The 26,614-nt window shown below is 42.2% G+C and overlaps 1 protein-coding gene and 1 long non-coding RNA gene across 4 annotated transcripts in view, besides 2 other annotated features; one reads left to right on the top strand and one right to left on the bottom strand.

The window, feature by feature from the left end:
- Window positions 1-259: 259 nt before the first annotated feature.
- On the bottom strand, window positions 260-26,192 carry LOC105370117 (uncharacterized). 3 transcript variants are annotated; one of them, XR_941756.2, is made up of 3 exons: window positions 26,061-26,192; window positions 11,304-11,600; window positions 260-502 (listed from the first exon to the last, which is right to left on the bottom strand). It is a non-coding gene; the product is annotated as an uncharacterized LOC105370117 (long non-coding RNA). The 3 variants fall into 3 exon arrangements; XR_941755.2 differs by lacking the exon at window positions 26,061-26,192 and adding an exon at window positions 16,446-16,824; XR_941758.2 differs by lacking the exon at window positions 26,061-26,192 and adding an exon at window positions 13,079-13,259.
- Window positions 16,412-16,571: a silencer, noted in NCBI's record as "silent region_5178". NCBI's record gives its function as "represses an Ori minimal core promoter by ATAC-STARR-seq in GM12878 lymphoblastoid cells {active_cell/tissue: GM12878}" and the evidence as "EXISTENCE:reporter gene assay evidence [ECO:0000049][PMID:35858748]".
- PARP4 (poly(ADP-ribose) polymerase family member 4) overlaps window positions 16,569-26,614 on the top strand; it is a 91,848-nt gene continuing 81,802 nt past the window's right edge. The window contains exons 1-2 of the mRNA NM_006437.4: window positions 16,569-16,641; window positions 25,570-25,702. Of these exons, the coding sequence (NP_006428.2) occupies window positions 25,571-25,702 (132 nt within the window). The 5' untranslated portion in view covers window positions 16,569-16,641; window position 25,570. The remainder of the gene's footprint in view (window positions 16,642-25,569; window positions 25,703-26,614) is intronic.
- Window positions 25,642-25,936: a silencer, noted in NCBI's record as "tiled region #4719; HepG2 Repressive non-DNase unmatched - State 14:Gen5', and K562 Repressive DNase matched - State 5:Enh". NCBI's record gives its function as "represses a minimal TATA promoter and a strong SV40 promoter by Sharpr-MPRA in HepG2 and K562 cells {active_cell/tissue: HepG2 | K562}" and the evidence as "EXISTENCE:reporter gene assay evidence [ECO:0000049][PMID:27701403]".

The raw sequence follows: 26,614 nt of genomic DNA, 5'->3' as shown, positions 1-26,614 counted from the left end.
GTGAAGTCCCCAAGGCCTGAGCTTGTGCTTCTCAGAGGTTTTTCTTGGCAATAATCTGCACACTTCAGTCTGGAGAACACAGATCTCTAATCCATCCTTTCCAGAGCCAAAATCCCCTACACAAGTCCCCCAGTGATGACGGGATTAACCTGGACATATGTAGCCATCCAATGGGTTCATTTTGCCCAGTGCCCAGGTACAGCTGATTTGTTAAGACAGGGGAATGCAATAGAGAAAGTTTAATTCATGCAGAGCTGGCTGAATGGGAGACCAGTTTTATTATTAGTCAAATTAGTCTCCCTGGAAACTCAGTGACTAGGGTTTTTAAAGGATAGTTTGGTCAGTAGGGGGCCAGGAAGAGGGAAGTGCTGATCAATTGGGTCACACGTGAAGACACAGGGAGCTGAAGCTGTCCTCCTGCACTGAATGGGTTCCTGGGTGGGGGTCCCAGGACCAGTTGGTGGGTCTGGGTGAAGTCGTCAGTCTTCAGCAATGCAAAAACCTGAAAAGATATATTAAAAAACCAGTCTTAGGTTCTACAACAGTGATGTTATCTGCAGGAGTAATTAGAAGCTGCAAATCTTGTGATCTTTGGAATAATGGCTGGTAACTGTTTATGTCCACACCTTAGCAGAATTCAGACTTCTCTCATGCTCACAACCTGACAGCCTCTCGTTAGATTTACAAAGGCAGTTAATTTGGGGGAAAAGTTTAGTTTATTTAAACTATAAACTAAATGTCTCCCCAAGTTAGCTCGACACAAGCCCAGGATTGAGTAAAGGCAGTTGGAGGTTAAAGGCAACATGATAATTGGGTAGATTAAATCTCATTAACTGTCATCATTTTCTCACTGTTAAAATTTTTCCGGCCGGGCACGGTGGCTTACACCTGTAATCCCAGCACTTTGGGAGGCCGAGGCGGGCGGATCACGAGGTCAGGAGATCGAGACCATCCCGGCTAAAACGGTGAAACCCCGTCTCTACTAAAAATACAAAAAATTAGCCGGGCGTAGTGGCGGGCGCCTGTAGTCCCAGCTACTTGGGAGGCTGAGGCAGGAGAATGGCGTGAACCCGGGAGGCGGAGCTTGCAGTGAGCCGAGATCGTGCCACTGCACTCCAGCCTGGGCGACAGAGCGAGACTCCGTCTCAAAAAAAAAAAATTTTTTTCCAATGGCTGTTTCACCTACTTCTCCAGCTAAAAAACGTTTTGTACGAGTTCAGAAAAAAACTTTTCAGAACCAAGTTAGTGCTTCCAGGAAAATATGCATATATAGCCCTAAATGCTAAAAGCAAGATATGGCACACAAATAATGTATGATATGCTGTTTTCTTTCACTGAATTCAACATGTATTAACTAAGAGAAGTTCCCAAGACACATCTCGTCAAATCTCAAAAAACACAATTCTGAGCACAGTAGGCCCACACAGAAAAAGCGATTATCTACCCTGAAAGTTAAACGCAAGCTTTGTGCCAAAAATCTATATTATGTGCTATTTTCTTTCAATAAAATAAACATGTTTTGACAATGATCACTTTTCAAACACACGTTTTGTAAAAGCTCAGAAAAAAATATTTCAAAGCCTAGTTAGCGCTTCCAGAAATATATGCGTATACAGCCCTAAATGCTAAAAGCAAGACATGGCACACAAATAATATACGATGTGCTGTTTATTTCACTGAATTCAACATACATTAACTAAGGTCACTTTTCAGGGACACATCTTGACAAATCTCAAGAAACACAATTCTGAGCAAAGTAGGACCACACAGAAAACGGGAATATCTAGCCCTGAAATGTAAATTCAAGCTTCGTGCCAAAAATTTAGACAATGTGCTGTTTTATTTCACTGAATTCAACATGTTTTGACATTGACCACTTTTCAAAAACACGTTTGTACAAGATCAGAAAGAAACATCTTGGAGCCCAGTTAGCACTTCCAGGAAAATAGGCATATACAGCCCTAAATGCTGAAAGTAAGACATGGCACAAAAACAATGTATGATCTGCTGTTGTTTTTTCACTGAATTCATCATGTATTAACTAATAGCAGTTTTCAAAGACACATCTTGTCAAAACTCAAAAAACACAATTCAGAGCATAATAGCCTCACACAAAAAATGCGAGTATCTAGCTCTAAAATGTAAATGCAAGCTGTGTTCCAAAAACCTAGGTTATTTGCTGTTCTCTTTCATTAAATTCAACATGTGTTGACATTGATCACTTTTCAAAAACCCATTCATACAAGGTCAGAACAAAGCATTTCAGAGCCCACTTAGCATCTCCAGGAAGATACGCATATACAGCACTAAATGCTAACAGCAAGATAGCAACAGAAATAATGTATGATGTGCAGTTTTCTTTTACTGAACTCAACGTGTATTAACTAGGAGCAGTTTTAAAGACATATCTTGTCAAATCTCATAAAACCCAATTTTGAACTTAGTAGGCCCACAGAAAAAATGCGAATATCTAGCTCTAAAAGGTAAACACAAGCTTTGTTCCAAAAACCTAGATGATGTGCTGTTTTTGTTCATTTAATTTGACATGTTTTGACATTGATCACTTTTCAAAAACACACTTTGTACAAGCTCAGAAAAAAATGTTTCTGTGCCCAGTTAGTGCTTTCTGGAAGATAGGCATAAAAGCCCTAAATGCTAAAAGAAAGATATGGCACACAAATAATGTATGATGTGCTGGTTTCTTTCACTGAATTCAACACGTATTAACTAAGAACAGTTTCCAAAGACACATATTGTCAAATCTCAGAAAACACAATTCTGAGCGCAGTAGGCTTACACAGAAAATGTCAATATCTAGCTGTCAAAGATAAACATAAGCTTAGTGCCATAAAGCTATGTGCTGTTTTCTTTAACTGAATTCAACATGTTTTGACATTGATCACTTTTTAAACACATATTTTGTACAACCTCAGAAAATAACATTTTGAAGCCTAATTAGCACATCCAGTAAGAAATGCATATACATCTCTAAATGCTAAGAGCAAAATATGACATGCAAATAATGCATGATATGCTGCTTCCTTTCACTGAATTCAACATGTATTAACTATCAGCAGTTTTTAATGACACATCTTGTCAAATTTCAGAAAACATAATTCTGAGCATAGTAAGCCCACAGAGAAAATGTAAATATCTAGCCCTAAATGGTAAATGCTAGCTTTGTGTCAATAACCTAGATGATGTGCTGTTTTCTGTAACTGAATTCAACATGTTTTGACATTGATCACTTTTGAAAAACACGTTTTGTACAAGCTCAGAAAATAACTCTTCAAAGCCAAGTTAGTGCATCCAGGAAGATATGCATATACGGCCCTAAATGCTAAAAGCAAGATATGGCATACAAATTATGTATCATGTACTGTTTTCGTTCACTAAATTCAACATGTATTAACTAAGACCAGGTTTCAGAGACATATCTTGTCAAATCTTGGAAAACACAATTCTTAGCAAAGTAGACTTCCACAGAAAATGCAAGTATCTACCCTGACAGTTAAACACAAGGTTTGTCCCCAAAACCTAGATGATGTGCTGTTTTCTTTCACTGAAGGAAACATGTTTTGATATTGATCACTTTTCAGAAACACATTTTGTACAAGGTCAGAAAAAAACATTGTGTAGGCCAGTTAGTGCTTTTTGGAAGGTATGCATTATACAACCCTAATTGCTAGAAGCAATATATGGCACACAAATAATATATGATGTGCTGTTTTCTTTCATTGAATTCAACATGTATTAACAAAGAGCAGTTTTCCAAGACACATCTAGTCAAATCTCAGATGACACAATTCTAAACATAGTAGGACATCACAAAAAATACAAATATTTAACCCTAAATTCTAAAAGCAGGCTATGTTTTAAAAACCTAGATGATTTGTCATTTTTTTTCACTCAATTCTACCTGATTTGATGTAGAGCAGTTTTCAAAGACACATCTTGTCAAATTTCAAAAAAAAAATATTCGGCCAGGCACAGTGGCTCACTCCTATAATCCCAGCACTTTGGGAGGCCGAGGTGGGCAGATCATGAGGTCAGGAGATCAAGACCATCCTGGCTAACATGGTGAAACCCCATCTCTACGAAAAAATACAAAAAATTAGCCAGGCGTGGTGGTGGGCACCTGTAGTCCCAGCTACTTGGGAGGCTGAAGGAGGAGAATGGCATGAACCCGGGAGGCGGAGCTTACAGTGAGCCAAGATCACACCACTGCACCCCAACCTGGGTGACAAAGTGAGACTCCATCTCAAAAAAATTTTATTTATATATATATATATATTTTCTGAGCATAGTGGGCCCTCACAGAAAATGCAAATATCAGACCTAAAACCTAATAACTAGGTTTCTGCAAAAATATTTTATGATGGGCTGTGTTCTTTGACTAAATTAACCATTTTTTTTACTTAGAACAGTTTTCAAACACAAGTTTTGTTGATGCTCAGAAGACACATTTTGAGAATAGCAGAGAATGATAGAAGCATATGAATATCCATCCCTAAAAGGTATAACAAGGTTTGTGCCAAAAATTTTTATGATATGCTATTTTCGTTCACTGAATTAAACACATTGCAACTTAGAACAGTTATCAAACCCACGTTTTCTAGAAGATAAAAAAACAAGTATGAGCCCAGTGAGCTCTTATAGAAAGATACAAATATTCAGCCCAAGCTTTGAGACAAAATTGTCTATAATAAGCAGGTTTCTTTCACTGAATTCAAGATGTTCTGACATTGATCACTTTTAAATATATGTTTATTACTAGCTAAGAAAAAATTTATTCCAAAGCCCATTTAGCATTTTCAGGAGGATATGTATATGCAGCCCTAAATGCTGGCAGAAGATATGGCACACAAATAACGTTTGATGTGCTGTTTTCTTTCACTTATATTAACATGTATAAGAGCAGTTTTCAAAGACACATCATGTCAAATCTTAGGAAACACAATTCTGAGCATAGTAAAGCTATACAGAACATGTGAGTAGCCCTAAGAAGTAAATGCAAGATTTGTGCCAAAAACCTAGATAATGGGCTGTTCTCTTTCACTGAATTCAACGTGTTTTGACACTGATCACTTTCAAAAACACATTCTGTACAAGCTCAGAAAGAAAACAGTTTGGAGCCAAGTTATTGATTCCAGGAAAATATGCATATGCAGCCCTAAATGCTAAAAGCAAGATAGGGCACACAAATAATGAATGATGTGCTGTTTTCTTTCACTGAATTCAAGTATTAAGTAGGAGCAGTTTTCAAAGACACATCTTGTCAAATCTCAGAAAACATAATTCTGAGCATAGTAGGCCCACAAAGAAAATGCGAATATCTAGTCCTAAAAGGTAAACGCAAGCTTTGTGCCAAAGACCTAGATAATGTGCTATTTTCTTTCTCTGAATTCAACATGTTTTGATTAAGAGCAGTTTTCAAAGACATATCTTTTCAAATATCAGACAACAGAATTCTGAGCATACTAGGTTCTCGCAGACAATTAGAATATCCAGCCCTAAAAGCCAATAGCAAACTTCTGCCTAAATTAATTATGTTGTGCTGTTTTCTTTCACTAAATTAAATAAATTCTTATTTGGAACAGTTGTCAAACCTACATTATATAGAAGCTAAAAAACACACACTTCAGCCCATGTAGCCCTTATAGAAAGATACGAATAACCAGCTCTAGTATTAAAAAAAAAGCAAGCTTTGTGCCAAAATATTACATGATATGCAGGGGTTTTTTTCTGAATTCCACGTTTTGCTCTCGAACATTTTTATAAACTATGTTTTGTACAAGCTCAGAGCAAACATTTCTGAGCCAAGTTAGCCTTTAAGGGCAGGTAGACATAACCAGCTCTGAATGCTAAAAGATGTGGCACACATATACGGTATAATGTGCTGCTTTCTTTCACTGAATTCAACAGGCTTTTATTTGAAGAGCTTTCAAAAACGTGTTTTTTCCAAGCTCAGAAGAAACATTTCTGAGCCCAGTTAGTTTTTTTATGCAGTTATGCAAATCCAGCCCTAAATGCTAAAAGCAAGATATGGCACACAAATACTGTATGATGTACTATCTTTTTTGATGAATTCAACATGCTTTGACATTGATCACTTTTCAAATTGTGCTGAATCTCTGACTACACAATTCTGCACATACTAGGCCCTCAAAGAAAATGCGAATATCCAGCTGTAAAAGCTAAAAGAAAATTTGTGTCAGAATATTTATGATGGGCTGTATTCTTTGACAAAAAGATAATATGTTTACACTTAATACAGTTTTCTTTTTCTTTTTCTTTTTTTTTTTTGAGAGAGAGTCTCGCTCTATCCCCCAGGCTGGAGTGCAGTGGCACGATCTTGGCTCGCTGCAAGCTCCGACTCTCGGGTTCACACCGTTCTCCTGCCTCAGCCTCCCGAGTAGCTGGGACTACAGGCGCCCGCCACCACGCCCGGCTAATTTTTTGTATTTTTAGTAGAGACAGGGTTTCACCGTGTTAGCTAGGATGGTCTCAATCTCCTGGCCTCGTGATCCGCCTGCCTCGGCCTCCCAAAGTGCTGGGATTACAGGGGTGAGCCACCGCGCCCAGCCAGCACATCATCAAGTTTTTTGGCACAAAGGTTGCTTTTAGCTATTAGGGCTGGGTATTCATATTCTGCTATGAGTGCCCACTGGGTTCATAAATGTCTGTTCTGAAGGCCTACAAAACCTGTGTTTGAAAATGATTCCATGTGAAAACATGATGAATTTCCTCAAAGAAAACAGCCCATCCTAATGAATTTAGGCACAAATCTTGCTTTTAACTTTTAGGACTGGATATTCACATTTTCTGTGAGGGTCCATTGTACTCAGAATTGTGTTGACTGAGATTCGACAAGACAAGTCTTTGAAAACTGCTCTACATCAAAACAGGTTGAATTCAGTGAAAGAAAACAGCATATCATAAAGGATTTTTGGCACAAAGCTTGCTTTTAGCTTTAGGGCTGGATATCTGTATTTTCCTGAGTGCCCACTGGGCTCAGACATGTCTTTTCTGAGCTTCTACATAATGTGTATTTGAAAACTGTTCCAGGTAAAAAGATGCTGAATTCAGTGAAAAACAAAAACAAACCCAAAACATCATCAAGTTCTTTGGAAAAAATCTTGTTTTCCATTTTTAAGGCCGAATCTTCTTATCTTCATAAGGGATCTCACTGGGCTCAAGAGTGTCATTTTTTAGTTTCTATGAAACAAGTGTTTGAAAACATTTCTAATTAAAAATGTGTGGAATTCTATTAGAGAAAACAGCACGTCATAAAGTATTTTAGCCCAAAATTTGCTTTTAGCAGTTGGGATTGGAAATTCATATCTTCCTATGAAGGCCTACAGGGCTCAGAAATGTTTGATCTGAGTTTGTACAAAACAAATTTTAAAAAACTGTTCTCAGGCAAAACATGTTGAATTCGGTGAAACAAAGCAGCACATTATACAGTTGTTGTTGTTGTTTTTGTTTTTTTTCTTTGGCACACAAAGGTTGCTTTCAGTTTTTAGACCTGGATATATCACATCTAGGAAGACATGCATATACAACCCTAAATGCTAAAAGCAAGATATAGCACACAAATAATATTTGATATGCTGTATTTCTTACACCAAATTCAACATATATTAACTAAGGGCTGTTTTCACGGGCACATATTGTCAAATATTTTTTAAAACACAATTTTTAGCACAAAATGCCCTCAGAAAAAATGAGAATTTCTATCCCTGAAAGGTAAATGCAAGCTTTTTCCCAAAAACCAAAATGTTATGTTGTTTTCTTTCACTGAATTTATCATGTTTTGACATTGATCGCTTTCCAAAACTTGTTTGTACAAACTCAAAAAATAACATTTTGAAGCCCAAGTAGTGCTTCTAGAAAGATATGCATATATAGCCCTAAATGTTAAAAGCAATACGTGGCGAACAAATATTGTATGATGTGCTGTTTTCTTTCACTAAATTTAACATGTATTAACTAAGAACAGTATTCAAAGACACATCTTGTGAGATCTCAGAAAACACAATTTTTAACTTAGGTGGCACAAACAGAAAATGCAAACGTCTAGCCCAGAAAGGTGGACGCAAGCTTTGTGCCAAAAACCTAGATGATGTGCTGTTTTTCTCACTTAATTTAATATGTTTTGACATTAATCACTTTTCAAAAACTCGTTTTGTACAGGCTCAGAAAATAAAGTTTGGAAGCCAAGTTAGTGCTTCCAGAAAGATATGCACATACAGCCATAAATGCTAAAAGCAAGATATGGCACACAAATAATGTATGATGTGCTGTTTTGCTTCACTAATTCAACATGTATTAACTAAAAGCACTTTTCAAAGACACATCTTGTAAAATCTCAAAAACCACAATTCTGTGCATAGTAAACCCAAAAGGAGAATGCAAATATCTAGCCCTGAAAGTGATCACTAATTTGTGCCAAAAACCTAGATGATGTGCTGTTTTGTTTCACTGAATTCAATGTTTATTAACTAAGAGCAGTTTTCAGAAACACATGTTTTCAAGTCAGAAAACAATTCTGAGCACAGTAGTCTTACACAAAAAATGTGAATATCTAGCCGTCAGAGGTAAACACAAGCTTTCTGCCAAAAACCTATATATTATATGCTGTTTTTTTCACGGAGTTCCACATGTCTTGACATTGAACACTTTTTAAACACACGTTTTCTACAAGCTCCAAAAGCAACATTTCCAAGCACAGTTAGCACTTCCAGGAATGTATGCATACACAGTCCTAAATGCTAACAGCAAGATATGGCACACAAAATATGTATGATCTGCTATTTTGTTCACTGAATTCAACATGTATTAACTAAGAACATTTTTCAAAGATCATCTTGTCAAATCTCAGAAAACCTAATTCTGAGCATAGTAGGCCCACATTGAAAATGCGAATATCTAGCTCTAAAAGGTAAACACCAGCTTTGTGCCATAAACCTAAATGATGTGCTGCTTTCTGTCAATAAATTTAAGATGCTTTTACATGATCACTTTTCAAAAACACATTTTGTACAAGCTCAAATACCATTTCAGAGCCCAGTTAGCGCTTCTGGGAAGATATGCATGTACAGCTACAAATGCTAAAAGCAAGACATGGCACCCAAAATATAAGTTATGTGCAGTTTTCTTTTGCTGAATTCAACATGTGTTAACTGAGAGCAGTTTTCAAAAACACATCTCAGAAAACACAATTATCAAAAACACATCTAGAAAACAGAGCTCAGAAAACACAACCTCAAGCTTAGTAGGCCAACAAAGAAAATGCAAATATCTAATCATAAAGGGTAAACACAAGCGGTGTGCCAAAAACCTAGATGATGTTCTGGTTTCCTTCACTTAATTCTACATGGTATAGCAGTTCTCAAAGACGCAGCTTGTCAAATCTCAGAAAAAACAATTCTGAGCATAGTAGGCCCTAAAAGGTAAATGCAAGCTATGTACCAAAAACCTACCTGATGTGCTGTTTTTTTCTCCAAATTCAACATGTTTTGACATTGATTCATTTTTAAAAACACGTTTGTACACACTCAGAAAAAAACTAATAAAAGCCTAGTTAGAACTTTCAGGAAGATATGAAAATACAGTCCTAAATGCTAAAAGCAAGATATGGCACACAAATAATGTCTAATACACTGTTTTTTTTTTTTTCACTAAATTCAACGTGTATTAACTAATAGCAGTTTTCAAATACACAACTTGTCAAATCTCAAACAACACAATTCTGAGCATAGTAGGCCCACACAGAAAATGCAAATATCTAGCTCTGAAAAGTAAATGAAAGCTGTGTGCCAAAAATCTAGATGATGTGCTGCTTTCTTTCACTGAACAGAACATGTTTAGATATTGATCCTTTTTTTAAACAATGTTTCAGACAACTTTAAAAAAAGCATTTCTGAGCCCACTTTGTACTTTCAGGAAGATATGCATATACATCCCTAAATGCTAAAAGCAAGATATAGCACACAAATAATACATGTGCTGTTTTCTTTCACTGAATTTAGTAATGTATTAACTAAGAGCAGTTTAAAAAAACACGTCCTGTCAAATATCAAAAAACTCAGTTTTGAGCATATTAGGCCCACACAGAAAATGCAAATACCTTGCCCTAAAAAGTAAATGCTAGCTTTTTGCTAAAAAATTAGATGATGTGCTATTTTCTGTAACTGAACTCGTTCCATATGCTTCAAAGAAAATGCTAAACTGACACAGCTATAGATCAAACACTTGATGCATCACTTTCTTTCGACCCCCATGTCCTCACCGCCTGCTTCTTTGTTTGATCACCAATAAATAGTGTGGGCTCCCAGAGCTCGGGGCCTTCACAGCCTCCATACTAGTGTCAGCCCCCTGGACCCACTTTATGCACCGTTAACTTATCTTGTCTTATTCATTTGACTCCGCTGGACTTCGTAGCCCCCACAGTCTGGGATTGGGCCTGATCACCCCAACAAATAATGAGTTGATGGGCGCAGCAAACAAACATGGCACATGTATACCTATGTATCAAACCTGCACGTTGTGCACATGTACCCTAGAACGTAAAGTGTAATAGAAAAGTAAGAAAAAAGAAAATGGGTCTCTAAAAAGTGACCAACGTAGAAACATGTTGAGTTCAGTTACAGAAAATAGCATGATAAAACGTGTTTTTGAAAAGTGATCAATGACAAATTATGGCTGGGTGCAGTAGCTCAGATCTGTAATCCCAGCACTTTGGGAGGCCAAGGTGGCAGATCACTTGAGGCCAGGAGTTCGAGACCAGCCTGGCCAACATGATAAAACCCCATCTCTACTAAAAATACAAAAAATTATCTGGGCATAATGGCGCACACCTGTAATCCCAGCTACTTGGGAGGCTGAGACACAAGAAATCACCTGAACCCTGGAGGCAGAGGTTGCAGTGATCTGAAATCATGCGTCTACACTCCAGGCTGGGCCAAAGAGCAAAACTCTGTCTCCAAAAAAAAAAAAAAACAAAGCCACAGGGGACAAACACACACACACACACACACACACACACACACACACACAGAGAGAGAGCATGAGAGCAAGAGCTGGCAGGGAAGCACATGCCTATAGTCCAGCTACTTGGGAGGCTGAAGGGGGAGGACTGCTTATGCCCAGGAGTTTGAGTCCAGCCTGAGCAACACAGCAAGACTCCATCTCTGAAAAAAGAATTTTAAACAAAAAACACAGAAAGGCCTTCTCTTATCTTAGGACAACTTAGTAACACTGTGAGTTAAGTACAGAAGAGAGGAACACAATTAACTCACTTGTAAGATGGTTATGGTTTTCTTCTTTTGAATCCTTTTTTTCCACAGGTGCTTCTTGATACCGTGCAACAGAAAATAAATTAGGAGAAGCACTTTTTGAAGTTAAGACAAAATCTCCATGGGCAGTTCTACAGAAGTTGCTTTGCTTATGGGATAAAATGTAGGAAGTGTATGTTTCTTCCTGAGTTAGGTCCAGGTAGACGTATGATAGGAAGCAGCGTGTGGCTCTCTATCCAGTGGTGGCATTTCCTGGAGACCTGTGCTTCTGGCTCTGATCATCAGGCAGGAAACTCAAACCTTGCAATTAAGAAAAGCAACAAAGCTGATGACTTCCTTCAACATTTTCTCTTTTATCCCCAGTAGTGACTCCACCCCACAAAGGCTTCTCCACAGTGACAAAAGTATTTTTTCCCTTTATTAGGAAGTGATGTTTAACAAAATCATGAAATATTTATTTATTTCTTTATTTATTCATTTATTTATCTTTTTAAGACAGAGTCTTGCTGTCGCCGAGGCTGGAGTGCAGTGGTGCAATCTCAGCTCACTGCAACCTCCACCTCTCGGGTTCAAGCTATTCTCATGCCTCAGCCTCCCGAGTAGCTGGGATTAAAGGCATGCACCACCATGCCCAGGTAATTTTTTGTATTTTTAGTAGAGATGCAGTTTCACCATGTTGCCCAGGGTGGTCTTGAACTCCTGAGCCCAGGCAATCTGCCCGCCTCGGCCTCCCGAAGTGTTAGGATTACAGGCATGAGCCACCATGCCCGGCCAAAATCATGAAATTTTTTAAATTCCAAAGTGACCTTCACATAGATTTAAGTAACAGTATATTTAGATGCTGCTTCTGTGCAGACAGTGTGGGCACGGCAGAGCTGCAGCTGCCTAACTCCTATTCCACGTGTGAGAACATGCAGGAGTCAACTCTGCAGCCCTGCAATCAGCACATTAGACCTGGAGCACCCACACAGACAGTGATGCGAATGATCTGAGCTGTTCCCTAGTTATCAAAACCCGCCCTTTAGATTATCCTTAAAATTTTGGTATCATTGGTTGATGGAATACAGGCTGACTTTTCCTTCTGGCATGATCTCAGCTCACTGCAACCACCACCTCCCCAGTTCAAGTGATTCTCCTGCCTCAGCCACCTGAATAGCTGGGACTACAGATGTGCACCACCATGCCCAGCTAATTTTTGTATTTTTAGTAGAGATGGGGTTTTACCATGTTGGCTAGGCTGGTGTCAAACTCCTGACCTCCAGTGATCCACCGCCTCAGCCTCCCAAAGTGCTGGGATTACAAGCATGAGCCACCACACCCAGCCAAGAGTTCACAACTTTTCATTGTTGGTCTGATGGTAGCAAGTGTCCACTCTGTCCAGAGAGGACATGTCAGGTGCAGTGGCTTACACCTGTAATCCCAGCACTTTGAAACACTGAAGTGGATCATTCGCGCCCAGAAGTTTGAATGTTAGCCAGGCATGGTGGCATGCACCTGTAGCCCTAGCTACTTGGGAGGCTCAGGCAGGAGGATCACTTGAGCCCAGGAGTTTAAGGTTATGATCACACCACTAGACTGCAGCCTGGGCGACAGAGTGAAACCCCCAACTCTTAAAAAGAAAAAAGAGAGAACATAAGTGCTAGCCTGGCCAAGGGATGATCCCCAAGCCCATGTCTTCCAGGCCAGAAAGGGGAATTCTAACAGGTTGGGAAGATGCACTGAGAGATGCATGTGTCTGGCCTCTAGGCAAACCCAAGAAAACCCACATCCTCCTTCACCTGCAGGAAGAGTGAAGGAGTTCTTCACCAAGGCCTGAAACCTCAGATTTCCAGAATTACTTCTGGAAAGTTTCTAACAACAACCTTGGGTGCTGAGAGACATTTTTTAAATCTTGGCAGTTTGATATAGGTAAATCTATTGCTGGTGCATTGGACTTACAACAAAACATCCTGGAAACCTAATGAGTCTATACAGCAAAGGGATTATCACATCCACTACATTCTAGAATGCCTGACCAATGATGAATGAAGTTGAATAGATAGTAAAGGATTTCTAGCTTGAATCTTTGTTGTAATAAGAGCAGAACAATACCATAATAGTTGTCACACCTGTATTTTTGCTTTCTTCAAAAATAGCAATAATTATATAGTAGTTGGATGGTTCTTCAAGCATTCTATAGGTTTTTATTACACATTTTTTTTAGATGGGATGACTCTATCACCCAGGCTGGAGGGCAGTGGCACAATTACAACTCACTGTAGCCTCAACCTCCAGGTCTCAAGTGTTCCTCCTGCCTCAGCCTCCTAGGTAGCTGAGATGACAGGCACATGCCACCATACCTGGCTAATTTTTGCATTTTTTGTAGAGATGGGTTTTCACCATGTTGCCCAGGCTGGTCTTGAACTCCTGGGCTCAAGCAATCCACCTGCCTCAGCCTCCCAAAGTGCCAGGATTACAGGCATGAGTCACCGTGCCTGGCCTATCATTTCTTGGAGGAGAGTTTTAACAGATATAGAATTCATGGTTGCCGGTTTGTTTGTTTTCTTTCAGCACTTTATATCATCCCACTGCCTTCTGGCTCCCATGGTAATAGATTGGCTGTTAATCTTATTCAAGTTCCTTTGTATGTAGTGATCATTTCTGTCTAGCTGCTTTTAAGCTTCTCTCTGTCTTTGGCTTTCAACAGTTTGATTATTAATATAACTCTATTGTGGACTTTTTGAGTTTATCATACTTGAAGTTCATGGAGCTTCTCTGAAGTGTTACATTATGTATTTTAACAAATTGGGGACTTTGGAGCCACTGTTTCTTCAGATACTCTTCCTGCCACCTTCACCCTCATCTTTCTTTCTGGGACCCCCTTTATGCATATGCTGATACACTTGATGGTGTCCACAAATCTTTTGGACTTTGATCTTCATTCTTCTACTTTCTGCTCCTCAGAGTTAATAATTTCAACAGTTTTATCTTCGAGTTTGCTCATTCCTTCTCTTACCTGCTCAAATCTACTCTGGAGCATCACTTGTGTATTTTTCATTTAAGTTATTGTATTTTTTTCTTTTTCTTTTCTTCTTCTTTTTTTTTTTTTTGAGACAAGATATTGCTCTGTCACCCAGGCTGGAGTGCAGGAGTGTGATCTTAGCTCACTGCAGCCATGAACTTCTTGGCTCAAGTGATCCTCCTGCCTTAGCCTCCTGAGTAGCTAGGGCCACAGGCATGCACCACCATGCCCGGTTAATTTTGTAATTTTTTTGTAGAGAGGGGATCTCCCTATGTTGCCAAGGCAAACTCTTGGTCTCAAGCGATCCTCCCGCCTTGGCCTCCCAAGACACTAGGATTACAGGCATGAACCACCATGCCTGGTCCTATTGTACTTTTTAACTACACAATTTCTTTTTGGTTCTTTTCAGTTCCAAAATGTGTTTGGTTCCTTTTATAATTTCTATCTCTTTATTAATATTCCTTATTTGTTTTTTAAATAATTTCAACTTTTATTTTAGATTCAGAGGGTACATGTGCAGGCTTGTTACCTACATATAATTCGTGGTGCTGAGGTTTGGGGTATGACTGAGCCCCTCACCCGGGGACTGAGCATAGTACCCAATAGTTTTTCAACCCTTGCCCCTCCCCCTCCCTCCCTGTCTAGTTGTCCCCAGTGTCTATTGTTGCCATCTTTATATCCATGAGTACCCAGTGTTTAGCTCCCACTTACAAATTAGAACATGTGGTATTTGGTTTTCTGTTCCTTCATTAATTCACTTACGACAATGGCCTCCAGTTGCAGTCACGTTGCTGTGAAGGACATGATTCCATTCATTCTTTTTATGGCTTCGTAGTATTCCATGGTGCAAATGTACCACATTTTCTTTATCCAGTCCATTGTCGATGAGCACCTAAGTTCATTCCATGTCTTTCCTATTGTGAAGCGTGCTGTGACGAACATACTAGTGCATGTGTCTTTTTGGTAGAATGAGTTCTCTTGTTTTGAATATGTACCCAGTAATGGGATAGCTGGGTTGAATAGCAGTTCTGTTTTCAGCACTTTGAGAAATCTTCAAACTGGTTTCCACAGTGGTTCAACTAATTTACATTCCCACTGACAGTGTATAAGCATTTCCTTTTCAATAAAGCCTTGCCAGCATCTGTTGTTCCTTGACTTTTTAATAATAACCATTCTGACTGGTGTAAGATGGTATCTCATTGCAGTTTTAATTTGCACTTTTCTGATAATTAGTTATGCTGGGCTTTTTTTCATGCTTGTTGACCATTTGCACATCTTCTATTGCATATTCTCTATTTATTGAGACTTTGTTCTCCTGGTTGTTTCTTTCAGTTATTTTTCTATGTTTCCTTTCACTTTTTGTCCATGTTTAAGACAGTTTATTTGAAGTATTTGTCTAATAATTCCTATGTCTGTGCTTCCTCAGCTCAGGGACAATTTCTGTTCATTTCTTTTTTCCTTTGAATTGGCCATTTTTTCGCCTTTTTTTTTGCATGCCTCATAATTTTTTGTTGAAGATTGGACATTTTGAGCATTACGATGTGGTAACTCTAGGAATCAGTCTCTCTCCTCCCCCAGAATCTCTTGTTGTTTCTTAGACAACCCTATAGAGTAGGTTGTAATGATGAAACTTGGTAAATTACCTTGTCCCCAGCCCCCTTGGTAATAAATTGTGGAGTCAGGATTCAACCCCATACCCTTTCCACTGTATTCTCTACTCTATCCTTTCTATTCTCATTTTATTCAGTATCCTAAAAATCTGAATCTTCCCCATTGCTTTATTCCCATTTCAGTGAATCTCAGATCTGTATCTCCAGCCCCCTGCCTCTCTTGAATGGCAGATAAATATATTTCCAACTAGTTACACTGTCACGAATTTCAAACGCAGGAAGGCTTAAAGTAAATTTATTATCTCACTCTCCTGTTTCCACGAACTTTCCCGAAATTTTCTTCTTTCCCGGCCTTGTGAATCCCTTCCATTTCTCAGTTAAAGGACAGCACCATCCACCCACCTCTCTCAAAGCCGAGCTTTGTATTAATCCTCATTGACAAAATCCCTCCTGAAATATGAAACTGAAAGCCCTGAACCCTCCGGCTGATCTTGGAAGAGAAACCCCGCCAGAGGCCGGGGACCCGCTCCCCACCTGGCGGACCCGATTCCGGGCGCGTTCCGGCTATCGTCCCTGCTTGGGACGCTGCGCCCGCCTGGTGCGGGGCGGGGTTCCGGCGCAGTGGCGCCCGCCCAGCCCCGGGGGCAGGGAGAGCCTAGATTACGGAAGTACCGCGAGCAAGGAGCGCGGAATCGGGGAGCGTCCGGAGCTAGCTGGATCCTCTAGGCAGGTGCGTGGGCGCTGCGGGGTGGGGGGCTGCAAAGGTCCCTGTAGTCCTAGCCAGGAAGTGGCCCGCGTACTACTTTCCCGCCAGTGGCTGCACCCTTGCCCTGCGCGGCGTTGGCGCTGTGGGCCTGACGGCGCTGCTAGGCTCGGGAGTGGACTAGCTAGTGCAGCCAGCGCCCTCGGGGAGGGATATTGCGGTCGTTCCGCTCTGCCCCGCGGCGCAGCCCTGGTGACGAGAAACCGGGTGCGGTGGGGGGCGCCCACCGGAGCCGACAGTCACACCAAGTCTCCGCACCCCGTGCGGTGCGGTTCGCAGTAGCACGCGTTGTTTCTTGTTTCCAGTATGCCAAACGGCCTTCTTTCCTAAAGTTAGGTTTCGAATTGTGCAAAAAGTAAGGTGGTTTGGTGAGTAATCAGGAAGTACTATCTGACCTCGTGAGTCATTGGGAACACCGTGATAGAAACAATGTGTTTGTTGAGGTCCAAAGTTGAAAACCTCTAACTCAGTTAAGTAATTCCTGCTAGGAGGGCCGAATGGTTCACCCAGGGATCGAGTTGGTAGATCACAGGTTCTAGAAAACTAAGGCGCTGCTAAATATTCAAGCCCAAGCACTTTCAATTCTGGACTGCTGGATGACAACAATTATATGACAATATCCAAGCATAGTGCTATGATAAAGGGGAAGTTCGCTCTGAGATGTGCGTGTTGCAGACTCATTACATCTGACTTTATCATTTATTAAGTAAACATTAGGTCTTGTTTGTGTGCGTAGAGCTACTGTATATCATGTAGGAGTGAAATAAAAGTAGTACCTTTGTTGTTTAAGGGTTTAATAAACCCATTAGGGAGGTGCATTACTGATGCCATTTGAGTCCAAAATGCAAATAGTGTCAGAAGGCTTTTCTGTAATCCTGGGCTTTAATGGATACGTGAGAGTTTTTAGTAAGCAAGCTTTTATTGAATGCCCACTGTATATCAAAAGTGATCTTAGCGTGTGCTGACTCACACACTTCGGAAGGCGGAGGCTGTAGAATCAAGACTGCCCAGAAAGGGACTCCTCAGGGTTTTCCGAGAGGAGGAAATGCCAGTGGTAAAGACGAAGACCTGTGAAGCAGGAAGCCACTTGATTCCACCTACACCAATGGTTTATGGAGCAGCCAAGAGTTTGTGAGGAGGCGCGCTGAGGGTTTCTTAGGAATCGGGGCTGTTCCCTGCTGTCTTTGGGTGGAAGACACTCTGTGAATGTTATTTGGGGAAGAAGCTGGGAAGGGGGACAGGCTGGAGTGACTGTGCAGATTTGCCTTAGAGAATAACCAGCCCCTAGCCCAGTGTCCGCCACATCTCATATGTACGTAATCAGCGCTGATGAAAACATGAACTAACTCTGTGTTTAGAGAACACTTTGAAACAAGGAAGAACTAGTGGCGCATGTCGGTTAGGCGCTGTTAACCCAGAAGAGGGCTGGCATTTTACAGAGACTAGAGATGAATCTGTGGAAAGAGAGAAGTCAAGACCTGACTTGAGATTTCACGAAACCCAAAGTGCGCCTTTCCATACCTCCCACGCAGCCGCAGGTGCTAAGAACAGACCGCAGATTTATGTTTAAAATGTTTTTACTCTGGGCCGGGCGTGGCAGCTCACACCTGTAACCCCAGCACTCTGGGAGGCTGAGGCAGGAGGATGGCTTGAGCCCAGGAGTTTGTGACCAGCCTTGGCAACATAGTAAGAACCCTGTCTCTACCAAAATTAGCTGGGCATGGTGGTGCAGGCCTGTGGTCCCAGCTACTAAGTAGGCCGGGTGAAAGGATTGCTGGGAGGGAGGTCGAGGTTGCAGTGAGCTGTGACAGTGACCACACCACTGCACTCCAGCTTGGGAGACAGAGCCAGACCCTGTCTCAAATAAAATAAAATGTTTATACTTTGATTTCACAACTATGTGTATGTACTTAATGCCACTGAACTGTACACACAGTTTTAAAAACTGTACCACAATTTTTAAAAGGCTAAAAAATGTTTATACTCCTTGATTCAGTAATTCCATTTCTGGCCATCAACTCTAGGGAAACTATGACAGAGATGTGGCAAAAAAATATATGTACAAGCATTTTAATTAAAGTGTATTTCTAATAGTGAACACTTTTTTTTTTTTTTTTTTGAGACGGAGTCTCGCTCTGTCGCCCAGGCTGGAGTGCAGTGGCGGGATCTCCGCTCACTGCAAGCTCCGCCTCCCGGGTTCACGCCATTCCCCTGCCTCAGCCTCCCAAGTAGCTGGGACTACAGGCACCCGCCACTACGCCCGGCTAATTTTTTGTATTTTTAGTAGAGACGGGGTTTCACCGTTTTAGCCGGGATGGCCTCGATCTCCTGACCTCGTGATCCGCCCGCCTCGGCCTCCCAAAATGCTGGGATTACAGGTGTGAGCCACCGCGCCCGGCCAATAGTGAACACTTTTAAGTAACCAAGTATCTGATGACTTGGGGAAGGATGAAATAAACGCAAAGCTTATGTAACCACTAAAAACACCTTCAAAGAATATTTAGTGACATGGGGAGGATATCACTAAAAGCTAAATAAGCTGTGAAAGTGAAAGTCCTATTTAAAAAGTAAAGAGCAACTGGCTATAACATTAAATATAGAATATTAATAATTTAGAAAATACAATGATACAAGAAATAATAACACCAAAAAAATTAAAATATCAACAGTGGGGGCTAGGTGTGGTGGCTCATGCCTGTAATCCTAGCACTTTGGGAGGCAGAGGTGGGCAGATCACTTGAGCTCAGGAATTCGAGACCAGCCTGGCCAACATGGTGAAACCCCGTCTCTACTAAAAATACAAAAATTAGCTGGGCGTGGTGGTGCGTGCCTGTAGTCCCAGCTACTTGGAGGCTGAGGCACGAGAATTACTTGAACCTGGGAGGCAGAAGGTTGCAGTGAGCTGAGATCATGCCACTGCACTCCAGCCTGGGTGACAGAGCGAGACTGGCTCAAAAAACAAACAAATAAAAATCAACAGTGGGGTTATTTCTGGATGGAGGGATCAGGTGCTTTTTTAAAAATAACTTTATTGACCCATAATATGTATGTAACTATTATGTATCCAAAAAATACTATTTAAAAAATGTATTGGGGTACAATTTACATACATTAAATTCATTCATTTTAATTGTACAATTTAGTAATTTTTCTCTCTTTTTTTTTTTTTGAGATAGGGTCTCTTGTCACCCAGGCTGGAGTGCAGTGGCATGATCACAGCTCACTGCAGCCTTGACCTCCCAGGCTCAAGTGATCCTCCCACCTAAGTCTCCTGAGTAGCTGGGACCATAGGCATGTACCACCTTGCCCAGCTAAGTTTTGTATTTTTTGTAGAGATGAAGTTTCGCCATGTTGGCCAGGCTGCTCTCAAACTCCTGGGCTCAAGCGATTTGCTCCACTTGGTCTCCCAAAGTGCTAGGGTTACAGGCATGAGCCACATTGCCTGGCCTAATTCAATAATTTTTAATAATTTACCAAGTTGTGCACCATCACTGCAGTCTAGTTTTGAGCATTTCCATCATTTTAGGTGCTTTTTATTTTTTCTTCTTAGTGATTAACTTTTAACACAAAAAAATTGTTCAAACTTTGATTCAGTAGTTCTAGTTGAGTATTATTTTCTAAGATGATTGTTGGAGATGGAAACAAGGATTTGCACATAAGGATGTTCATCATAGCTTTTTATGATACCAAAAATCAGAAATGATTTAATTTTCCAACAATAATTCATTTATGGTCCATATCTGATAGTCTCTATTAAAAATGTTTTCCAATAATATTTAATGACAAAATGCTAAAGATGCTGACTGATAACAGCGGGATAGGTAGTGTGATGTCAATTTTGATAAAAAATACAGTCTGTGGCTGGGTGCGGTGACTCATGCCTGTAATCCCAGCACTTAGGGAGGCCAAGGTGTGCAGATCACTTAAGGTTGGGAGTTCGAGACCAGCCTGGCCAACATGGTGAAACCCCGTCTCTACTAAAAATACAAAAAGTAGCCAGGCATGGTGGCAGGCACCTATAATCCCAGCTACTCGGGAGGCTGATGCAGGAGAATCGTTTGAACCCGGGAGGCGGAGGGTGCCGTGAGCCGAGGTCTCACCACTGCACTTCCGCCTAAGTGACAAAAGCGAGACTGTCTCAAAAAACAAAGTGTTATAATAGACCTAGAAAAAAGCCCAGAAGAAAAATGCAAAACAAGATGCTAACATAGCCCTAGGTTTTGAGATTTTTTTGTTTTGTTCTTTTTTTTTCTGTTATACAATTCTGTATTTTTCAAATTTTCAACAGTGACCATGAGTCACTTTTCCAGGAAACACGTTTTAAACAGGTCAGAGGATTTAACACATCCAGGACCCATCTGAAGGTGGACTTGAGCAGCCACTCCATGTCAGCCAACCTTGGTCAGCATAAGTGGGGGTGCAATTATCACATAGAGGCTGTCCTGGAAATTATTAAAGAGTCATTAAAGGCTTTTAGTGTTTTTTTTTGTGTGTTGTTTTTAATTGTCAGAGATTACGACTAGCATAGATTAACCTAAATAGTGTGGTGTAATCTCTTTTATGGTACCCCTCATTTCATCCCTCCTATCTATGCACAGATGCTAATTGAATGTGAGAGGCAGTCAACAAATGAAACTTTTCCATGCTAATGTTATGGAAAGGCAGAATTACATCAAGAGACTTCAGTTTAACCGGACCTCAAAAGAAAGATTAAAAAATATGAATCCCTAATGTGTTCATTCATTGTGTCCTGGATGGGGGATACAGCATGGGGTGAGGAAGGGCTGGGGGTCCCAGAGATAAGAACTATAATATATAACAGCATGTGTCAAGACTTGGAGGACCAAGCTGTGGGTTTCTTCCTCCTTTAGAAAAAGCCAGTGTGGCCAGGAGGGAATGAGATAGCTGTTGGCCTTGAACCATGATAAGCAATTTGTATTTTATTTGAAATGTAATTTAAAAACAACAAGTTTCCTGAAGCTGCAGTGTGGAGAAGAGATTGAACACAGGCGCAACAGGAGTGGGAGCCAGTCAGGATGCGAGGGCATGGGCCAGGGTGGCAGCAGGAGGGACAAGTTCTATACATTGGGGCTATATCAGGGGCTGTGATGGAAGAGATACAGCTGGCAGAAGGAGATGGGGGTGCAGGGAGTCAAGAATAGCACCCAGTGGTTGTCTCCAGCCAAGGGGGAGAGGGAGGCCTAGGCTGGGGACGTCGCACCTCTGTGGTGCCAAGGAGACCCAGAGGTGAGGTGTCAGGGAGGCAGTGGCACTGTGTCCTCAATTGAGAGCCCAGGGAATGGGTACCACCATCCAACACACACAGGGCAAAGGTACTGAAAGGTGACAGCGTGCTGGCAGCCCTTGCAGCCCTCGCTGGCTCTCGGCGCCCACTCTGGCTACGCTTGAGGAGCCCTTCAGCCCGCCGCTGCACTGTGGGAGCCCCTTTCTGAGCTGGCGAGGCCGGAGCCGGCTCCTTCAGCTTGCAGGCGCAGGACGGAACCGGGGCTGTGCGCGGCGCTTGCGGGCCAGCGCAAGTTCCGGTTGGGCGTGGGCTGGGCGGTCCCCGCACTCTGAGCAGCCCGCTGGCCCCGCCGGCCCCGGACAGTGAGGGGCTTAGCGTCCGGGCCAGCAGCAGCGGAGGGTGTGCCGGGTACCCCAGCAGTGCCGGCCCACCAGCGCTGTGCTAGATTTCTCGTGGAGCCTTAGCTGCCTCCCCGCGGGGCAGGGCTCGGGACCTGCAGCCCGCCATGTCTGAGCTCTCCCGCCTCAGTTGGCTCCTGCGCAGCACGAGCGTCCCGCAGGAGCGCGGCCGGCGCCCGGTCCCATCGACCACCCAAGGGCTGAGGAGTGCGGGTGCAAGGCATGGGACTGGCAGGCAGCTCCACCTGCGGCCCTGGCATGGGATCCACTGGGTGAAGCCAGCTGGGCTCCTGAGTCTAGTGGGGACTTGGAGAACTTTATGTCTAGCTAAGGGATTGTCAATACACCAGTCAGCACTCTGTGTCTAGCTCAAGGTTTGTAAACACACCAATCAACACCCTGTGTCTAGCTCAAGGTTTGTAAATGCACCAATCAGTGCTCTGTGTCTAGCTAATCTAGTGGGGACCTGGAGAACTTGTGTCTAGCTCAGGGATTGTAAACACCAATCAGCACCCTGTCAAAGCAGTCCAATCAGCGCTCTATAAAATGAACCAATCAGCAGGATGTGGGTGGGGCCACATAAGGGAATAAAAGCAGGCTGCCCGAGCTAGCAGTGGCAACCTGCTGGGGTCCTCTTCCACGCTGTGGAAGCTTTGTTTTTCACTCCTTGCAGTAAATTTTGTTGCTGCTCACTGTTTGGGTCCGCACTGCCTTTAAATCGCGGAGGTCTGCAGCTTCACTCCTGAAGCCAGCGACACCACGAACCCACCGGTAGGAGTAAACAACTCCGGACAAACTCTGGATGCGCCGCCTTAAAGAACTGTAACGCTCACTGCGAGGGTCTGCGGCTTCATACTTGATGTCAGTGAGACCAAGGAAGGAACAAACTTCGGACGCGCCGCCTTTAAGAACTGTAGCACTCACCACGAGGGTCCAGGCAGCTTCGTTTTTGAAGTCAGTGAGACCAAGAACCCACAAATTCCAGACACAGCACTAGGTAGGGTGGGGCCTCTGGCCTGTAGGAGTGGGAGGTGAAAGGGCAGGCAAAGGGGAAATGGCGGAGCCCAATCGCGGTGCAGGGCGGTGGGCTTTCAGCAACTCAGCTTAGTCCCAAGACGCGTGGGCCGCGGCAGAGAACCTGACCTGCCTGCCCAAGCTAACACAGGACCCGGAACCGCGATCCTCAAACTAATACAGGACTTGGAAACTGCTGTCGCCAAATGGCAGCTTACTTTGCGGGGAGCCTGTTAGACGTGACTCCTTGTTTTTAAAAATTGACAAATACCAGTCTGGGCAACATAGCGAAACCCTGTCTTTACTAAAAATGAAAAATATTAGCCGGGCGTGGTGGCGCGGGCCTGTAATCCCAGCTACTCGGGAGGCTGAGGCAGGAGAATTGCTTGAACCCAGCGTTAGCACAAACTGCAACATTTTGTAAGCTGCCCGCTATTTTGCAGACTTTGGGCAAAGTGAAACATTTCTGGGGGGTTTAGGCGGTGAGAAACATCCTTCCTAACCACTTGACCGCAAGGCCAACAGAGGCTTATCTGAAGAAACTTCCCTCTCATGACTTCTTGGGCAAACGTCCAAGGAACACCATGATGACATCCACCTGAATAAGGGCCAGAACCCTTATTGTACAAATCAATACAAATCATGGGAACATCTTATCGATATCTTGCAGGGCAACAAGCCATGCTGCCCAGACCCCTCCCGCCCATACCTATAAGTACCCTTAGCCTGTAAGACTTAGCAGTGGGCTGTGGCATTAGGCTGGTCCCCTACTTCTGTAGGTTTTGTGCTGCACATAAAGCCGCATTTGCTGTCAAGCTCGCGCTCTCTAGCTCTGTCTCCTCTCTCTTTCTTTCTCCTCTGTGTGTGTGTGTGTGTCTTTCTTTAACCCTCACCTTCTCTTCCCGGAAGGCAGAGATTGCAGTGGGCAGAGATTACAGTGAGCTGAGATCTGCTACTGCACTCCAGCCTGGGTGACAGAGTGAGACCCTGACTCAAAAAAAAAAAAAAAAAAGCGGGGGTGTGCCAGGTGCGGTGGCTCATGCCTGTAATCCCACAATTTTGGGAGGCCAAGGTGGGCAGATCACTTGAGGTCAGGAGTTCAAGACCAGCCTGGCCAACATGGTAAAACCCCCGACTCTACTAAAAATACAAAAGTTAGCCAGGTGTCATGGTGGGCGCCTGTAATCTCAGCTACTTGGGAGACCGAGGCAGGAGAATCAATTGAATCCAGGAGGTGGAGGTTGCAGTAAGCCAAAATTGCAATAGTGCACTCCAGCGTGGGTGACAGAGCAAGATTGTCTCAAAAAAAAAATTTTACAAAATGGAAATTAAACACAATTTTTCACCATGTATTAATTTATTGTTAAATACACATTTCGATGCAAAATTGAGAATGTGTTGTACAGTAAATTAATTAAATTAACCCAGGCTGGGTGTGGTGGCTCACACCTGTAATCACAGCACTTTGGGAGGCTGGGTTTGAGCCCAGCCTGGTCAACATGGTGAAACCTTTGTCTCTACTAAAAATATAAAAAGTAGCCACGTGTGGTGGTGCGCGCATGTAGTCCCAGCTACTCGGGAGGCTGAGGCAGGGGAATCGCTTGAACCAGGGAGGCGGAGGTTGCAGTGAGCTGAGATCGCACCACTGCACTCCAGCTTGGGTGACAGAGTGAGATTCCGTCTCCAAAAAAAAAAAAAAAAAAAAAAAGAACCTAAATGCAGAATATATATGTGTATACACACACATACATATTCCATTTAAACATAGTTGTATATTTTTATTATCAGCTGTTCAGTTTTTCCCCAGAATGGCCTAATAGAAGTCCACATAAAGAGTCTTTTTGAATGCATAGAATTATATATTAAAGAAACCCATGGTTTCACTATCAAATAATGTTAATTTCTAATTTAGAAATAAATGGTTCCATGTTCTGGAGTCACACACTTGATCTGTAACTTAAATCTGTCATGTTTTTATTAAGATGTATATCATGAGCCTGTACAAAGGGATTTTTGGTGGTGTAATATCAACCATAAAAGCTAGAAACGATTCTTAAACCAACACACATATTGCAAGCTAGGATATTATTCAATTTTTGCAATGTTCTATTGATAACATGATTGCAATATCTTTCTTAAGATAATGCCCAATTTTCCCACAGTTTGCTTGTATAATAATTCTAAATTCACTGTCATATTGACTTAAGAGAGGGTCCTTAAAAACTTTTTTTCCTACAGGATGGTGATGGGAATCTTTGCAAATTGTATCTTCTGTTTGAAAGTGAAGTACTTACCTCAGCAGCAGAAGAAAAAGCTACAAACTGACATTAAGGAAAATGGCGGAAAGTTTTCCTTTTCGTTAAATCCTCAGGTATTTCCAAGTGTCATAAACTACAGTGTGATAAAACATTGCGCATTCAGGGAACAGGGTCATGGTTAGAAGAGGAAGCAGAGATTAGCAGCAGGAGAGAGTGAGTGAGCTACTCGAAGTTCATCAGGAGAGACTGACATGGCCCATTGGGAGGCTGGGCTCCTAGAGGCAGAGGTGGCCCAGCCCTGTCCCCTCCCTGTTCCCTGAACTGCAGGACAATCCTACATGTCCTGTGAAGCAGGATATTACTAGAGCACAGCCAAATATGAAAATAGAATTTCAGACCAGCCATATCTATTCTTGAAGGAGAAAAGTCATAGTGCACAGGATTTGCAAAAAGCGCACTGTCGTCACTCACCAGTATGTCAACGCTGGGGTGATATACTGGTAAGCCAGGTTCCTGGGTGTAGAAAGAAATACATGCAGTGCAGACTCATCTTCGCAGTGTAGCTTGTGCTGTTTGTTTTGTTCATTTAAAGGCTGCAGGAATTTACCTTCTGCCTCTTGAACTTGTAAGCCTGGCAGTTCAGAATAATAGGATTTTACAGCTGGATGAAATCTTAGAAATAATTCAGTTTAACCTCCTCTTTTTTAAACCACCTCACTGTAAAAATAGAAATCCAAAGGCTCTAGGTGCCAGGCTGGCCTGCCCCTGTCCTCTGCTGTTCCCTCTGTTGACGAATTGATGAGCTGACTCACCCTGCCCCTCCCTGGACCTCAGCCCTGGGGCTTGGCCATTGTGAGCCTCATCTGTTCTGTGAAGCGTGTTCAACTCCAGCTGAATACCAGAAATGCAATGTCCCTGTTTACTTCCAATTCAGGTAGAATTGTATATACTTCCCTTATACAGCTTCCCACACTGAGCTGTCTCACCATCTCTGGACAGATGAGTAATTCGTGCCTGCTCTCCCT

This window comes from Homo sapiens, chromosome 13 (genome assembly GCF_000001405.40).
Source record: "Homo sapiens chromosome 13, GRCh38.p14 Primary Assembly".
In the NCBI taxonomy this organism is placed as follows: Eukaryota; Metazoa; Chordata; class Mammalia; order Primates; family Hominidae; genus Homo; species Homo sapiens.
Note: the sequence above shows the minus strand (reverse complement) of the source record. Positions and strands in the feature narration are given on the sequence as shown.